General features: G+C 56.4%; 1 protein-coding gene and 1 pseudogene across 2 annotated transcripts; one reads left to right on the top strand and one right to left on the bottom strand.

Annotated features, from left to right (window-relative positions):
* On the top strand, nt 5,437-15,343 carry PRSS57 (serine protease 57). Of its 2 annotated transcripts, none has more exons than NM_001308209.2 (5): nt 5,437-5,537; nt 5,922-6,075; nt 8,887-9,031; nt 13,701-13,964; nt 14,967-15,343. In NM_001308209.2, exons 1-5 carry the CDS (start codon nt 5,459-5,461, stop codon nt 15,171-15,173), a joined length of 849 nt encoding a protein of 282 aa, NP_001295138.2. In that variant the 5' UTR covers nt 5,437-5,458; the 3' UTR covers nt 15,174-15,343. The 2 variants fall into 2 exon arrangements, with proteins under 2 accessions (NP_001295138.2, NP_999875.2); NM_214710.5 differs by having other exon boundaries at nt 5,919-6,075.
* Nucleotides 9,678-10,447, bottom strand: RPS2P52 (ribosomal protein S2 pseudogene 52; annotated as a pseudogene).

Here is a 15,725-nt window from a genome sequence, read left to right as displayed (position 1 = left end):
GGGAGGCCGAGGCAGGTAGATCACAAGGTCAGGAGATCGAGACGATCCTGGCTAACACAGTGAAATCCTGTCCGTACTAAAAATACAAAACAAATTAGCCAGGTGTGGTGGCACACACCTGTAGTCCCACCTACTTGGGAGGCTGAGGTAGGAGAATCGCTTCAACCTGGGAGGCAGAGGTTGCAGTAAGCAGAGATCACACCACTGTACTCCAGCCTGGGTGACAAAGCATCTGTCTCAAAAAAATAAAAATAAAGTGAGGCCAGGCTCAGTGGCTCATGCCTATTACACCAGCACTTTGGGAAGCCAAGGTGGGAGGATCAGTCGAGGTCAGTTTGAGGCCAGCCTGGGCGGCATAGTGAGACCCCATCTCTACAAAAAAACTTTTTTTTTTTTTCTTGAGACGGAGTCTCACTCTGTCGCCCAGGCTGGAGTGCAGTGGCGCGATCTCGGCTCACTGCAAGCTCCGCCTCCCGGGTTCTCGCCATTCTCCTGCCTCAGCCTCCCGAGTAGCTGGGACTACAGACGCCCGCCACCGTGCCCGGCTAATTTTTTGTATTTTTAGTAGAGATGGGGTTTCACCGTGTTAGCCAGGATGGTCTCGATCTCCTGACCTCGTGATCCATCCGCCTCAGCCTCCCAAAGTGCTGGGATGACAGGCGTGAGCCACCGTGTCTAGCTTTTTTTTTTTTTTTAATTACCCTGGTGGTTTTGTGAGCCTGTGGTCCCAGCTACAGGGAAGGCGGAGCCAGGAGGCAGAGGCTGCAGTGAGCTGTGATTGCAGTCTCAGCCACCAGGCAACATCTCGTCTTGAAAAACAATTTTTCGCAGGGGAGGGGCCGGGCGCGGTGGCTCACGCCTGTCATCCCATCACTTTGGGAGGCCCAGGCGGGTGGATCACCTGCCATCAGAAGTTCAAGACCAGCCTGGCCAACATGGTGAAACCCCATCTCTACTAAAAATACAAAAAATTAGCTGGGCGTGGTGGTGGGCGCCTGTAATCCCAGCTACTCGGGAGGCTGAGACAGGAGAATCACTTGAACCCGGGAGGCAGAGCTTGCAGTGAGCTGAGATGGTGCCACTGCACTGCAGCCTGGGTGACAGAGCGAGACTCCGTCTCAAAAAAACAAAATAAATAAAATAAAAATGTAAAATTAAATACAATAAAGGAAGCTGTTGTCACCATTGCTGTTGACTCCCTGCAGTGGCTGGTGTCTGAGCTCCTGAAGAGCCGCTCAGATCTGCCATGGAGAGACCCTCCAGGAGAATCGCAGTCCAGCGGCTCATGGGTCAAGACCCTGTGCTGTGTGGCCCCAGACAAATCGGCTCCCCTCTCTGGGCCTCAGTTTGGGAAGTGGGAACAGTGACCCCCACTCAGCCCCCTCCTCAGGGCTGCCAGGAGCTCGGTTTTCTGAGACGCTGGAGGACGGTTGTTTATTTCACAACTGTTCACCAAAAGGGAAGGAAATGGCCCAGCTCTGGATAGAATCGGTCCCGAGAGGCAGTGGGAGCTCCTCTGAGGCAGCAGCCCCGGCCCCCTGGCTCCTCACTGTGTGGCAGGGCTAAGGCGCTTACCCTCTCCCTACTGTGTCCCCATCAGCGACCGGGACAGGGACAGCATCGTGAGGGAACAAAGTTCCACACGCCTGCAGCTTCGGGCAATTCTCCTTCTAACGCCCGTGGAGCTGGGGACGTTTTCCAGGTCTCTGCCTCAGTGCTCCGCGACGGAGGGCAGCAGGGGAGGTAGGAGCAAGTCCAGGGGACCCACTCGTGCTGACGCGACGACCGTGGAGACCAGAGTGCCTGCTGTCCAGTCGTTTGACAATATTGACGGACAGCCGGGTGCGATGGCTCACGCCTGTAATCCCAGCACTTTGGGAGGCCGAGGCAGGCCGATCACTTGAGCTCAGGAGTTTGAGACCAGCCTGGGCAATATGGCAAAACCCATCTCTACCAAACAAATAAAACAAAACAAAACAAAAAAACACAAAAATTAGCCGGGCGTGGTGGCAGGCACCTGTAATCCCACCTACTTGGGAGGCTAAGGCAGTAGGATCGCTTGAACTCAGGAGGCAGAGGATGCAGTGAGCCGAGATCAAACCACTGCACTCCAGCCTGGGCGACAGAAGGAGACCCTGTCTCTAAAAGATAAAAACAGGGCCGGGCGCAGTGGCTCATGCCTGTAATCCCAGCATTTTCGGAGGCCAAGGCGGGCGGATCACGAGGTCAGGAGTTCAAGACCAGCCTGGCCAACATGGTGAAACCCCATCTCCACTAAAAATACAAAAAATTGGCCGGGCGTGGGGGCAGACGCCTGTAGTCCCAGCTACTGGGGAGGCTGAGGCAGGAGAATCGCTTGAACCCGGGACACTGAGGTTGCAGTGAGCTGAGATCACGCCACTGCACTCCAGCCTGGCGACAGATCGAGACTCCATCTAAAAAAAAAAAAAAAAACACCCACACACAAAAAAACAATATTGATGGAGCACGGCCCATGCGGTCACAGCGATGCCAGACGGTCCAGTAGACCACAGCAGAGCAGGAAATGGTCCCCAAGTACACGGACCCTGAGCTGGGGTCCCACCTGTCCCCAGGCCCTGGAAACAGCTTTCCATTTCCCAAAATCTTTCCTGCAGCTGCTGTAACGAATTCCCAGAAACGTAGTGGTTTAAAATGATACCAACTTGGGCCAGACATGGTGGCTCACACCTGTAATCCCAGCACTCCGGGAAGCCGAGGCTGGAGGATTGCTCGAGGCCAGGAGTTCAAGACCAGCCTGGGCAACATGGCAAAACCCCGTCTCCACAAAAAATGAAATAATGAGCCGGGCCTGGTGGTGGCAGGTGCCTGTGGTCCCAGCTACTTGGGAGGCTGAGGTGGGAGGATGGCTTGAGCCTAGGAGGTCGAGGCTGCAGTGAGCTTTGATTGCACTGCTGCACTCCAGCGTGGGCGGCAGAGCAAGACCCTGTCTCCCTGTCTCAAAATAAATATATACATAATAAATGAGGCTGGGCGCGGTGGCTCACACCTGTAATCCCAGCACTTTGAAAGGCTGAGGCAGGCAGATCACGAGGTCAGGAGATTGAGACCATCCTGGCTAACGTGGTGAAACCCCATCTCTACTAAAAATACAAAATATCAGCCGGGCGTGGTGGCGGGCACCTGTAGTCCCAGCTACTTGGGAGGCTGAGGAAGGAGAATGGCATGAACCCAGGAGGCGGAGCTTGCAGTGAGCCGAGATCGCACCACTGCAGTCTGGCCTAGGCGAAAGAGCGAGACTCCATCTCAAGAAAATATAATAATAATAATAATAAACGAAATGGCACCAATTTATTCTCTGGCAGTGCTGGAGGTCAGAAGCCCCTGCAGGCCCTTCTGGGCTAACGTCAGGGCATCGGTAGGGCTGGCTTTTCCCGGAGGCTCCAGGAGAAAATTCGTTTCCTGCCGTTTTTTAGCTTCCAGAGGCCGCCCGCATCTCGCAGAGCCCGAGTTCGTTGTGGGGCCTTTTCATACCTTCCTTTCCACGCATTTCCTGTTGCTTCATTTCACTTCATTCTTTATTGAGAACACTTTACATTTGGTAAAACACAGGTCTGGAGCGTTCAATGATGACTTTTTTTTTTTTTTTTTTTTTGAGATGGTGTCTCGCTCTGTCACCCAGGCTGGAGTGCAATGGTGCAATCTTGGCTCACTGCCACCTCCACCTCCCGGTTCAAGCGATTCTCCTGCCTCAGCCTCCCAAGTAGCTGGGATTACAGGCACCTGCCACCACGCCTGACTAATTTTGGTACTTTAAGTAGAGACGGGGTTTCACTATGTTGGCCAGGCTGGTCTTGAACTCCTGACCTCAGGTGATCCACCTGCCTCGGCCTCCCAAAGTGCTAGGATTATAGGCGTGAGCCACTGCACCCGGCCCCAGCCTGTTCATTATTAAGCGCTGACGAGCACCCCACTGCTAGCCACTGCCGTGAACGCCATCACCCGGCTGTGTGAGCTGCAATTTACGACCTGAACTTTGCCACTAAGAACGCTCCCACTGAAAGGTGAAGACCTGCCGGGCTGGGCGCGGTGGCTCAGGCCTGTCATCCCAGCACTTTGGGAGGCTGAGGCAGGTGGATCACCTGAGGTCGGGAGTTCGAGACCAGCCTGACCAACATGGAGAAACTCCGTCTCTACTAAACACACAAATTTAGCGGGGCGTGGTGGTGGGCACCTGTAATCCCAGTTACTCAGGAGGCTGAGGAAGGAGAATCCCTTGAACTCAGGAGACAGAGGTTGCGGTGAGCCAAGATCGCGCCACTGCACTCTAGCCTGGGCAACAAGAGCAAGATTCCTTCTCAAAAAAAAAAAAAAAAAAAAAAAGGCCGGGCACCGTGGCTCATGCCTGTAATCCCAGCACTTTGGGAGGCCGAGGCGGGCGGATCATGAGGTCAGGAGATCGAGACCATCCTGGCTAATATGGTGAAACCCCGTCTCTACTAAAAATACAGAAACAAAATTAGCCGGCTGTGGTGGCGGGCGCCTGTAGTTCCAGTTACTCGGGAGGCTGAGGAACGAGAATCACTCGAACCCGGGAGGTAGAGGTTGCGGTGAGCCGAGATGGTGCCATTCCACTCTAGCCTGGGCAACAAGAGCAAGACTCCATCTCAAAAAAAAAAAGAAAAGAAAAAAAAGGTGAAGACCCCCATGTACAGCCATGTCCCACTGGACTCCGGATCCCACAGAACGTCAGTGCTACAGGCTGGGGTGCGGTCACTGCCTCATCCTCACCTCCTAGCATGAGGTCTGGTATACACTAGGCACTCAATAACTGCTGAATAAAGGCAGAAATCTGCCAGGTGCAGTGGCTGTCTTCTGTGATCTCAGCACTTTGGAAGGCCGAGGAGGGAGGATCGCTGGAGCCCAGGAGTTCGAGACCAGCCTGGGCAACATAGCAAAACCCCACCTATAAAAATAAAATAAAATAAAGGCAGAAATCATCAGAGCTTCCCAGGAGACCGGCCTTCCTCGCTGTCCCCACAGCCCTGAGGTCGGCCCTGGGTTTGGAGATGGGAAGACTGGGGTTTGCGGGGTGGGGGCCGGAGGCGAGCTGCGGGTCTCGAGTGCCGCTGTGACCTCGGTTCCTCGGAAAGCTCCCCACACATGCTGGGCCACGTGGAGGCTGGGTAAACTGAGGCACAGAAGGGTCAATTGCCTTCCCGAGGTCACTTGCAGCCCCAGAGCTGTCTCCTCCTCTCCCTGTTTCCGGACTAGGGGACAATGATTATTATCAACATGATTATTACCAGCCACCACCTGAGACCATCGATTTCTCAGAAACGCCCGCCTGGGCTCCAGGCGTTGCTGGTGGGGCCTCCCGACCACAGGCCACAGCCAGGCTCCCCCTTTCCGGCCGTTGGCTGAGGGTGGGAGCCACGGCCCGAAGACCTCTGCGGGGAGACGCCAGCCTGCGTCTGCCATGGGGCTCGGGTTGAGGGGCTGGGGACGTCCTCTGCTGACTGTGGCCACCGCCCTGATGCTGCCCGTGAAGCCCCCCGGTGAGGAGCCCCCCGGGATCCCCACCCAGGCCCCCGCCAAGTCCCCGTACGGGGGCCACACCCGGGAACCCCCAGTCCCGGGAGAACCCTGGGGAGAGCTCCACCTGCTCCATCTGCCGAGCCCCCGTGGCTGCCTCTGCTGGAAATGGATGGAAATCCGGCCGGGGTCTCTGCCCAGCCCAGCCCTGGATCTCCCGGGCTCGGGAGCCCCTCCCAGCGCATCTGGGGGGCTTGTCTGGGCTCTGTCTCCAGCTCTCTGGGTCTCTCCGTCTCTAATCTCACCCCCTGTCTCTGTCTTGGCCGCTACTTCTCCCCCTGCCCTGACCCCAGCCCCGTCATCCGTTCCTCCCGCCTCGTCCCTGACTCAGGCCGTCCCTCCAGCAGGCTCCTGGGGGGCCCAGATCATCGGGGGCCACGAGGTGACCCCCCACTCCAGGCCCTACATGGCATCCGTGCGCTTCGGGGGCCAACATCACTGCGGAGGCTTCCTGCTGCGAGCCCGCTGGGTGGTCTCGGCCGCCCACTGCTTCAGCCACAGGTGAGCTCACCTGTCGGGCCCCTTCTTTCTGGACACCGTATCCCGACATGAGGGGGACTCCAGGCTGGTGGGGGAGCTGGGGGCGCCGTGGCTCCTGCAGGAGGGGGAGTCTCAGCAGGGGCTGGATTTAAAGGGCAACAAAGGGAAAACAGGAGGATAAGGCAGGGAGGCAAAAGAAGCACAGAAGAAGCAACAGGCGCAACAAGTACATATTCTGTTACTGTAACTGTCACTATGTTCTTTTTTTTTTTTGAGGCAGTCTCGGTTCCCCAGGCTGGAGTGCAACGGTGCAATCTCGGCTCACTGCAACCTCCACCTCCCGGGCTCAAGCGATTCTCCTGCCTCAGCTTCCCGAGTAGCTGGGATCACAGGCGCCCACCACCACACCTGGCTAATTTTTGCATTTTTAGTAGAGACTGGATTTCACCATGTTGGCCAGGCTGGTCTCGAACTCCTGACTTCAAATGATCCACCCGCCTCTGCCTCCCAAAGTGCTGGGATTGCAGGTGTGAGCCGCCATGCCCTGCCTCGTTTTAAACATATTGTTATAATAACTATTAAAATGTATATTGGGGCCAGGGTGGGTGGGTCCCCTCCTGCAGGAGCCCCCACCAGGCACGGGATAGGTTGGTCCTGGGCTGCAGTGTCCCCAGCTCCCCCGCCAGCCTGCAGTCCCCCTCACGTTGGGACACGGTGGATTGTTTGAGGTCAGGAGTATGAGACCAGCCTGGCCAACATGGTGAAACTCTGTCTCTACTAAAAATACGAAAATTAGGCTGGGTGCGGTGGCTCATGCCTGTAATCCCAGCACTTTGGGAGGCCGAGGCAGGAGGATCACGAGGTCAGGAGATCGAGACCATCCTGGCTAATACAGTGAAACCCCATCTCTACTAAAAATACAAAAAAATTAGCCGGATGTGGTGGCAGGCGCCTGTAGTCCCAGCTACCCAGGAGGCTGAGGCAGGAGAATGGCGTGAACCCGGGAGGCGGCGCTTTCAGTGAGCCGAGATCGCGCCACTGCACTCCAGCCTGGGGGACAGAGCGAGACTCTGTCTCAAAAAAAAAATACGAAAATTAGTTGGGCATGGTAGCAAGTGGCTGTACGTATCCCCAGCTACTCGGGAGGCTGAGGTAGGAGAATCACTTGAACCCAGGAGGTGGAGGTGGCAGTGAGCCGAGATGGCACCACTGCACTCCAGCCTAGGGGAAAGAGTGAGATTCTGTCGGAAAAAAAAAAGTTAATTGTGGTTTTTGCCATTTAATTTTTTTCGTGCAATTACTTTTGCACCAACCTAATATTATCACGGGGCCGGCGTGAGCATTAAATGGATTACTGGGCCTCCATTTCATAGATGAGTGGACTGAGGCCCAGACGGGCAGCCGTCACCCCCATCTCACCCACCCCCTCCTCCCCGCAGAGTCCTCCGCACCGGAGCTGTGCTTCTGTGGTCCCAGCTACTTGAAAGGCTGCTGTGGGAGGATCGCTTGAGCCTGGGAGGTCGAGGCTGCAGTGAGCTGTGATCACACCACTGCGGCCTGGGTGACAGAGTGAGACCTTGTCTCAAAAAAAAAAAAAAAAAAAAGGCCGGGTGCGGTGGCTCACGCCTGTAATCCCGGCACTTTGGGAGGCCGAGGCAGGCGGATCACGAGGTCAGGAGATCGAGACTGTCCTGGCTAACACGGTGAAACCCTGTCTCTACTAAAAAAAAATACAAAAAATTAGCCGGATATGGTGGCGGGCGCCTGTAGTCCCAGCTATTCAGGAGGCTGAGGCAGGAGAATGGCGTGAACCCGGGAGGTGGAGCTTGCAGAGAGCCAAGATTGCACCACTGCAATCTTGCCTGGGTGACAGAGCGAGACTCCGTCTCAAAAAAAAAAATTAAAGAAATAAAAAAAGGAGAATATTGAAATTACTGTAGTTAATATTATAATTGAAATAGAACTTATAATAAATATAATAAGTATTATCTTCATTCTAAATATGTTTTTATAATAATGATTCAAATTAATACCACAACTATTGCAGTTAATTCTATATTGGAGGTAGGAAAAATAATAAACATAATTATTAATTTATTATCATAATATTAAGTTGGGGGCTGGGCACCGTGGCTCACGCCTGTAATCCCAGCACTTTGGGAGGCCGAGGCAGGTGGATCACTTCAGGTCAGGAGTTCGAGACCAGCCTGGCCAACATGGTGAAACCCTGTCTCTACTGAAAATACAAAAATTAGCTGGGAGTGGTGGCGCACGCCTGTAGTCTTAGCTGCTTGGAGGGCTGAGGCAGGAGAATCACTGGAACCCAGGAGGCAGAGGTTGCAGTAAGCCTCGATTGCACTCTAGCCTAGGGGACAGAGTGAGACTCTGTCTCAAAAAAAAAAAAAAAGAAAAAAGGAAAAGAATATTAAGTTGATGCAAAAGTAATTGTTTTTTTTTTGTTTTTTTGAGACGGAGTCTTGTTCTGTCGCTCAGGCTGGAGTGCAATGGTGCAATCTCAGCTCACTGCAACCTCCGCCTCCCAGGCTCAAGCAATTCTCCTGCCTCAGCCTCCCGAGTAGCTGGGATGACAGGCATGTGCCACCACACCTGGCTAATTTTGTATTTTTAGTAGAGACGGGGTTTCTCCATGTTGATCAGGCTGGTCTTGAACTCCCGACCTCAGGTGATCCACCCTCCTCACCCTCCCAAAGTGCTGGGATTACAGGCGTGAGCCACCGTGCCCGGCCTGGGCCTCCGTTTCATAGATGAGTGGACCGAGGCCCAGGACGGGCAGCCCTCACCCCCGTCTCACCCACCACCTCCTCCCTGCAGAGACCTCCGCACTGGCCTGGTGGTGCTGGGCGCCCACGTCCTGAGTACTGCGGAGCCCACCCAGCAGGTGTTTGGCATCGATGCTCTCACCACACACCCCGACTACCACCCCATGACCCACGCCAACGACATCTGCCTGCTGCGGGTGAGCCCCGGGGGTGGATCTGACGTATGTTTAGTTTTTGAGACAGTCTCTCGCTCTGTCGCTCGGGCTGGAGGGCAATGGCGCAATCTCGGCTCACTGCAACCTCAGCCTCCCGGGTTCAAGTGATTCTCCTGCCTCAGCCTCTCAAGTACATGGGATTACAGGTGCGCGCCACCAAGCCCATCTAATTTTTGTATTTTAGTAGAGACGGGGTTTCACCATGTTGGCCAGGCTGGTCTCAAGCTCCTGACTTCAAATGATCCACCTGCCTCGGCCTCCCAAAGGGCTGGGATTACAAGCGTGAGCCACCGAGCCCGGCCTACTTTTCTTTTCTTTTCTTTTTTTTTTTTTTTGAGTCAGAGTCTCGAACTGTCACGGGGGCTGGAGTGCAATGGCGCCATCTCGGCTCACTGTAACCTCCGCCTCCCAGGCTCAAGTGATTCTCCTGCCTCAGCCACCCAAGTAGCTGGGATTACAGGCACTCGCCACCAGACCTGGCTAGTTTTTTGTGTTTTTAGTAGAGATGGGGTTTCACTATGTTGGCCAGGCTGGTCTCGAACTCCTGACCCAGTGATCCACCCACCTCAGCCTCCCAAAGTGTTGGGATTACAGGCGTGAGCCATCGTGCCTGGCCATTTTTTTTTTCCAGGCTTAATTCACTTTATTTTTCGTGTATAAAACCCTATGTTGTAACCACAGCTGGAGCCGGGCGTCTGCACGGAGACTCTGGTGTGAGTCTTCACAAGATGGCCAGTGAATACCTGAAAGAGAGACTTGGGGAATACAGAGGTCAGGGGTCAGGCAGCTGTAGGTCTTAGAGAGGATATCAGAGGCGGCCTTGGCAAAGTGGCCCAGGGTGGCAGTGCAGCCCCTGGCTAAGGTGTAGCAGTCACCGATACCAGCCATCATGAGCAGCTTCTTGAGCACAGGCGCCCAGACGATGCCAGCGCCCCGGACACGGGGATCAGGCACACCAGCGCAGAGCCGCAGCGGCCTGTCACCTTGCCAGGGACGGTGTAGGGCTTGCCGATCTTGTTCCCCCAGTAGCCTCTGTGCATGGGGACAACGGAGAGCTTGGCCAGGATGACGGCCCCGATGATGGCAGTGGCTACCTCCTTGGAGCACTCAACACCCAGACCGACGTGGCCATTGTAGTCCCCGGTGGGAACAGACGCCTCGAACCTGGTGCGCTGGCCGGTGCGGATCTGCTTCTGCACCGGCATAATCTCCAAAACCTCGTCCTGGAGAGAGGCCCTCAGGAAAAGGTCAATGATCTCAGATTCCTTGATGGGCAGGGAGAAGAGACAGATCTCCTCCAGGGACATGATCTTTATGTCCTTGACCAGGCGGCCCAGCTTGGTGACAGGCGTCTACTCCTTATCCTCTGTCTTGCCTCTGTGAGCTCCGCGGCCCCAGCCCGGAAGCCAGTGCCGAAGCCTCGGGGGAAGCCAGCGCCGTTCCCCATCCCAGGGCCGCCCCACTGCACCGACGTCATCCGCCGTTTAGTGTTTTCCAGGAGAAGCAGCCCTGGGCTATTTTTTTTTTTTTCAGACAGTATCTCCCTGTGTCCCCAGGCTGGAGTGCAGTAGCACGATCTCGGCTCACTGCAGCCTCTGCCTCCCAGGTTCAAGCGATTCTCCTGCCTCAGCCCCCCGAGTAGCTGGGATTACAGGCGCCCGCCACCACGCCCGGCTAATTTTTGTATTTTTAGTAGAGATGGGGTTTCACCATGTTTGCCAGGATGGTCTCGATCTCTTGACCTCGTGATCCGCCCACCTCTGCCTCCCAATCCTGGCCTATTTTTTGAGACGGAGTCTCACTTTGGCACCTGGGCTGGAGTAAAGTGGCACAGTCAGGGCTCACTGCAACCTCCATCTCCCGGGTTCAAGCGATTCTCCTGCCTCGGCCTCCCGAGTAGCTGGGATCACAGGCACCCACCACCACACCTGGCTAATTTTTGTATTTTTAGTAGAGATGGGATTTCACCATGTTGGCCAGGCTGGTCTTAACTCCGGTCCTCAAGTGATCCGCCCACCTTGGTCTCCCAAAGTGTCGGGATCACGGGCGTGTACCACTGCGCCAGGCGAATTTTTATATTTTTAGTAGAGACGGGGTTTCACCATGTTGCCCAGGCTGGTCTTGACCTCCTGGACTCAGGCAATCCTCCTGCCTCAGCCCCGCAAAGTGCTGGGATTACAAACCTGAGCTGCTGCGCCTGGCCTGACTTAGGTTTTAAAGACAGTTGGACGTCAGGTCCCATTCCTCCTGTGCCCTGGACCCCCCAGTGGCTCCCACCTCCTGCAGGACAAATCCTCCTGGTGCCCACAGGCCCTGCTAATCCATGCCTGTCACCTTTCTGACTCGAGGCCAGCAGACCTCCCGGATGGGCCATCCCATCCCCAGCACAGTCTCCGCTCCGAGCTCTGCACCAGCTGTACCCAGTGCACCAGTTCCCCAGACACCGCGAGCCTTTCCCCTCACGCCTGTCAAGTCTTTGCTCAAATGTTACCTTCCCAGGAGGCCGCCCTGGACCACATACCCCCTCCCTGCAACCCTGTTCCAGCCCCGTCATCACCTGCTAACCCCTGGACCACCCTTCCGGCCCCGTCATCTCCTGCTAACCCCTGGACCACCCCGTCGTCACCTGCTAACCTGTGGACCACCCTTCCAGCCCCGTCGTCACCTGCTAACCCCTGGACCACCCTTCTAGCACCGTCGTCACCTGCTAACCCCTGGACCACCCTTCCGGCCCCGTCGTCACCTGCTTGTCACCTGCTAACCCCTGGACCACCCGCTTCCTCATTCCCGCTTCCTCTGAACCTAACGGGCAGGGATTTTTTATCACCTTTATGGCCATTTATGGCACACAGCAGGCGCTCAAAGTTTATGCTGAAATGGAATGAATGTGCCTCTCGGGCCCCTGCCCTGTGTGGAGGAGACGCTTAAAGTCCCTGTGTGGGGCCGGGCGTGGTGGCTCACACCTGTAACCCCAGCACTTTGGGAGGCCGAGGCGGGTAGATCATTTGAGGTCAGGAGTTTGAAACCAGACTGGCCAACGTGGTGAAACCCCATCTCTACTAAAAATAAAAAAATTAGCTGAGCCTGGTGGTGGGTGCCAGTCATCCCAGCTACTCGGGAGGCTGAGGCAGGAGAATCACTTGAACCTGGGAGGCAGAGGTTGCCGTGAGCCGAGATCGTGCCACTGCACTCCAGCCTGGGTGACAGAGTGAGACTCCATCTGAAAAAAAAAAAAAAGTCCCTGGGTGGAGTCCTCCGGGTGGGAAGCTGCTCCTCCCACACGTGGTGCATCCATGCAGACCCGCCTGGCCCCCTCCTGCTCGAGGGACGACCCCTTCCCTGACGCTTCTACCCAGCATCCCAAAATTAAATTCCAGAGGCTGAGGCAGGAGAATCGCTTGAACCCGGGAGGCGGAGGTTGCCGTGAGCCGAGATTGCGCCACTGCATTCCAGCCTGGACAACAGAGCAAGACTCTGAAAAAAACAAAAAAAAAAGGAGGAGGAGCAAGTGCCAGTAGCCAAAGCTTTTGGGTGAATTTTTCTCATCTGTGAAACCCTGAAGCCTGGAACCAGCGCTGGTTCACCCAGAGGCCATCGCACAGATGGGGAAACTGAGGCTGAGCGAGACATCAAGAATGTCAGGAATGAACCCAAGACGCACAAATCAGAGAACCAGAGACAGGGATTGGAGCCGTCCTTCCCAGGCCCATTAACTGAGCATCAGCTGTGTGCCAATTGCCAGGGCCAGGGCCAGAGGCCCGGTGCTGGGCCACACAGAGCCCGGGGTGTCACTCAGTCTTCACTGGGTAAACCGGCCTCAACAGGCTGCAGGGAGCCCAGAGAAGACTCACGTGCCAGCCTGGGAGTCTGGGAAGACTTCCTGGAAGAGGTGGCATCCATGCTGAGATGGCTGAATAGGAAAAGTGTTTCAGGCTGGGGGTCTGGTGTGAGGGGAGGTGTGTGGCAGGCCCAGGGAGTAGCTGTAAATTCATCCTGCCTGGCCAAAGGGGAGGCTGAGGCTGGAGAGCCCTCAGAGGCCCTGGCTGGTGAGCAAAGAGGTTTTGTCTTGAGGGCAATCGGGAGCCGTGGGAGGGCTTAGAGTAAGGAAGGAGATGGAGTTTGAAAGACTCTTTGAGGCTGGGCGCGGCGGCTCACTCTGTAATCCCAGCACTTTGGGAGGCTGAGGTGGGTGGATCACCTGAGGTCAGGAGTTTGAGAACAGCCTGGCCAACAGGGTGAAACCCCGTCTCTACTAAAATACCAAAATTAGCCAGGTGTGGTGGTGCACGCCTGTAATCCCAGCTGCTTGGGAGGCTGAGGCAGGAGAAATCGGTTGAACCTGGCAGGTGGAGGTTGCAGTGAGCCAAGATTGTGCCACTGCACTCCAGCCTGGGCGACAGAGCGAGACTCCATCTCAAAAAAAAGAAAAGAACAGAACAGAAAGACCCTTTGGGCAGCTGACGGTGACCCTGGAGGCCTGAGGGGTAGGGGCCTGTGTTGGCAGAAGGAACGGGGCCTCCTGACCCGGCCTCATGGTGGCCGCCATTGATTTTGCTTCACAAGGGCAGGACCAGGGGTCCCATGGATAAACTGAGGCAGGAGCGGGGGTGGGGAGGGAGCCCAGTGGCCTGAACTCATGCTCTCCCTGCAGCTGAACGGCTCTGCTGTCCTGGGCCCTGCAGTGGGGCTGCTGAGGCCGCCAGGGAGAAGGGCCAGGCCCCCCACAGCGGGGACACGGTGCCGGGTGGCTGGCTGGGGCTTCGTGTCTGACTTTGAGGAGCTGCCGCCTGGACTGATGGAGGCCAAGGTCCGAGTGCTGGACCCGGACGTCTGCAACAGCTCCTGGAAGGGCCACCTGACACTTACCATGCTCTGCACCCGCAGTGGGGACAGCCACAGACGGGGCTTCTGCTCGGTAAGATCCCCTCCCTGCTCCACCCACTTACTGTGTGGGGAAACCAAGGCCCACAGAGAGGGTCAGGGCCAGGAAGGGCCTTGGGAACTGAGTCCCATTGATGTTGGACCAGACGGAGAAGCTGAGGCCCAGGGAAGGCAGGGAGTTGGCAAGGGTCATGCAGGGCTGCCATGTTCAGCTGTGCAGGTTGCGCACTGCACAAAGAGCCAAGCACTTGTGTATTTATACAAGCAGTATTCAGTAGAGGGTAGTAACAGATTGAGAGGAAGCAGCTCCCACTCCTAAAACCTTGCCAGATAAACGAATCCCCAGGTGCCAAGGGAGACACTGGCCCTGGAGGGTCTTTTACCGCAGGCAAGAGAGCGACTTGGTTCAGGACACACACTTAGCCCAGCAGCCCGAGTCCAGGAGAAATGAGACTGTCCACTTTCCCGATGCGTGACCTTGGAAAAGTCACTTGATTTCTCTGGGCCTCTTTTTCTCCATCTGTAAAACTGCTACACTATTAGTATCCAGTTGATGGTATCAGAGCGGATTCTAGATGGCAGGAGGGTAGGATGAGGGATTTTAGGGTGAGTATACGGGGAGCCCTCTCCAAGGAGAGCACCTTTGAGCTGAGACTTGAAGGAATCCTTAGAAGATCTGAGGAAACACACGCAAGGCAGAGAGACCTGTTAGTAGAGGGCTGCCGCGTACAGCTGTGTAGGTTGTGCACTGCCCAAAACACTGCAGACTCGAATGTTCACACAGGCAGCATCCAGCGCAGGGCAGGAACAGGTCTCCAGGCTATACAAAGGCCGTGGAGCACTGAGGAGGCTCAGCGGGGAGGGCAGAGAAGTGGGTGGGGGCTGGGTCCTCAGGGCCTGGAGGGGAGAAATGAATTTACTTTTTCCTTGGAGAGCAGTAGGGAGCCACAGAGGGTTCTGAGGCAGGGAGGGCCGTGGTGAGATGTGCCTGCAGCAGCTCCCAGAGGCCCTGACCTCACCTCTCCTTTCACTCCAGGCCGACTCCGGAGGGCCCCTGGTGTGCAGGAACCGGGCTCACGGCCTCGTTTCCTTCTCGGGCCTCTGGTGCGGCGACCCCAAGACCCCCGACGTGTACACGCAGGTGTCCGCCTTTGTGGCCTGGATCTGGGACGTGGTTCGGCGGAGCAGTCCCCAGCCCGGCCCCCTGCCTGGGACCACCAGGCCCCCAGGAGAAGCCGCCTGAGCCACAACCTTGCGGCATGCAAATGAGATGGCCGCTCCAGGCCTGGAATGTTCCGTGGCTGGGCCCCACGGGAAGCCTGATGTTCAGGGTTGGGGTGGGACGGGCAGCGGTGGGGCACACCCATTCCACATGCAAAGGGCAGAAGCAAACCCAGTAAAATGTTAACTGACTTCCAGCCTCACCCGTGGGCGGTCAGCTGCAGGGTCCACCGGCATTCGTGTCGCGGCTCGGTCCGCAGCCCCTTTCCACCTTCCCATGCCCCCCACCGTGAACCCCTCTGGGTCTACCCCTGCGCCCCTGCAACCCACACTCCTGCAGCCTCCCACCTGGAATGCCGTTCCTCCACCTCCCTCCAGCCGCCTAACCACACCGCAGGCGAGTCCGCTGGGAAACGGAGGCCAGGAAGCCCTGAGCTCCCTGTGCAGGGCGTGGGGGCTGCTGGACACCAGGGCGGGCTTGCACCGGCCGCGCCGAGGAGTCCCAAGAGGGTCTGGCCACACATCAAGCCTCGTGGTCATCCTCTGAAAACCAGAGAATAGCGCGGGGTGCACA

Source organism: Homo sapiens, chromosome 19 (genome assembly GCF_000001405.40).
Source record: "Homo sapiens chromosome 19, GRCh38.p14 Primary Assembly".
NCBI lineage: Eukaryota > Metazoa > Chordata > Mammalia > Primates > Hominidae > Homo > Homo sapiens.
The sequence above is the reverse complement of the archived record's forward strand: the minus strand, read 5'-3'. Positions and strand labels throughout refer to the sequence as shown.

Excerpts from the sequence above, each read along its gene's own strand:
- PRSS57 (NM_214710.5), top strand. The coding sequence starts at position 5,459 with ATGGGGCTCGGGTTGAGGGGCTGGGGACGTCCTCTGCTGACTGTGGCC. Across the intron at positions 6,076-8,886 it reads GCCCACTGCTTCAGCCACAG|AGACCTCCGCACTGGCCTGG; the intron begins GTGAGCTCACCT and ends TCCTCCCTGCAG. Across the intron at positions 9,032-13,700 it reads ACGACATCTGCCTGCTGCGG|CTGAACGGCTCTGCTGTCCT; the intron begins GTGAGCCCCGGG and ends CTCTCCCTGCAG.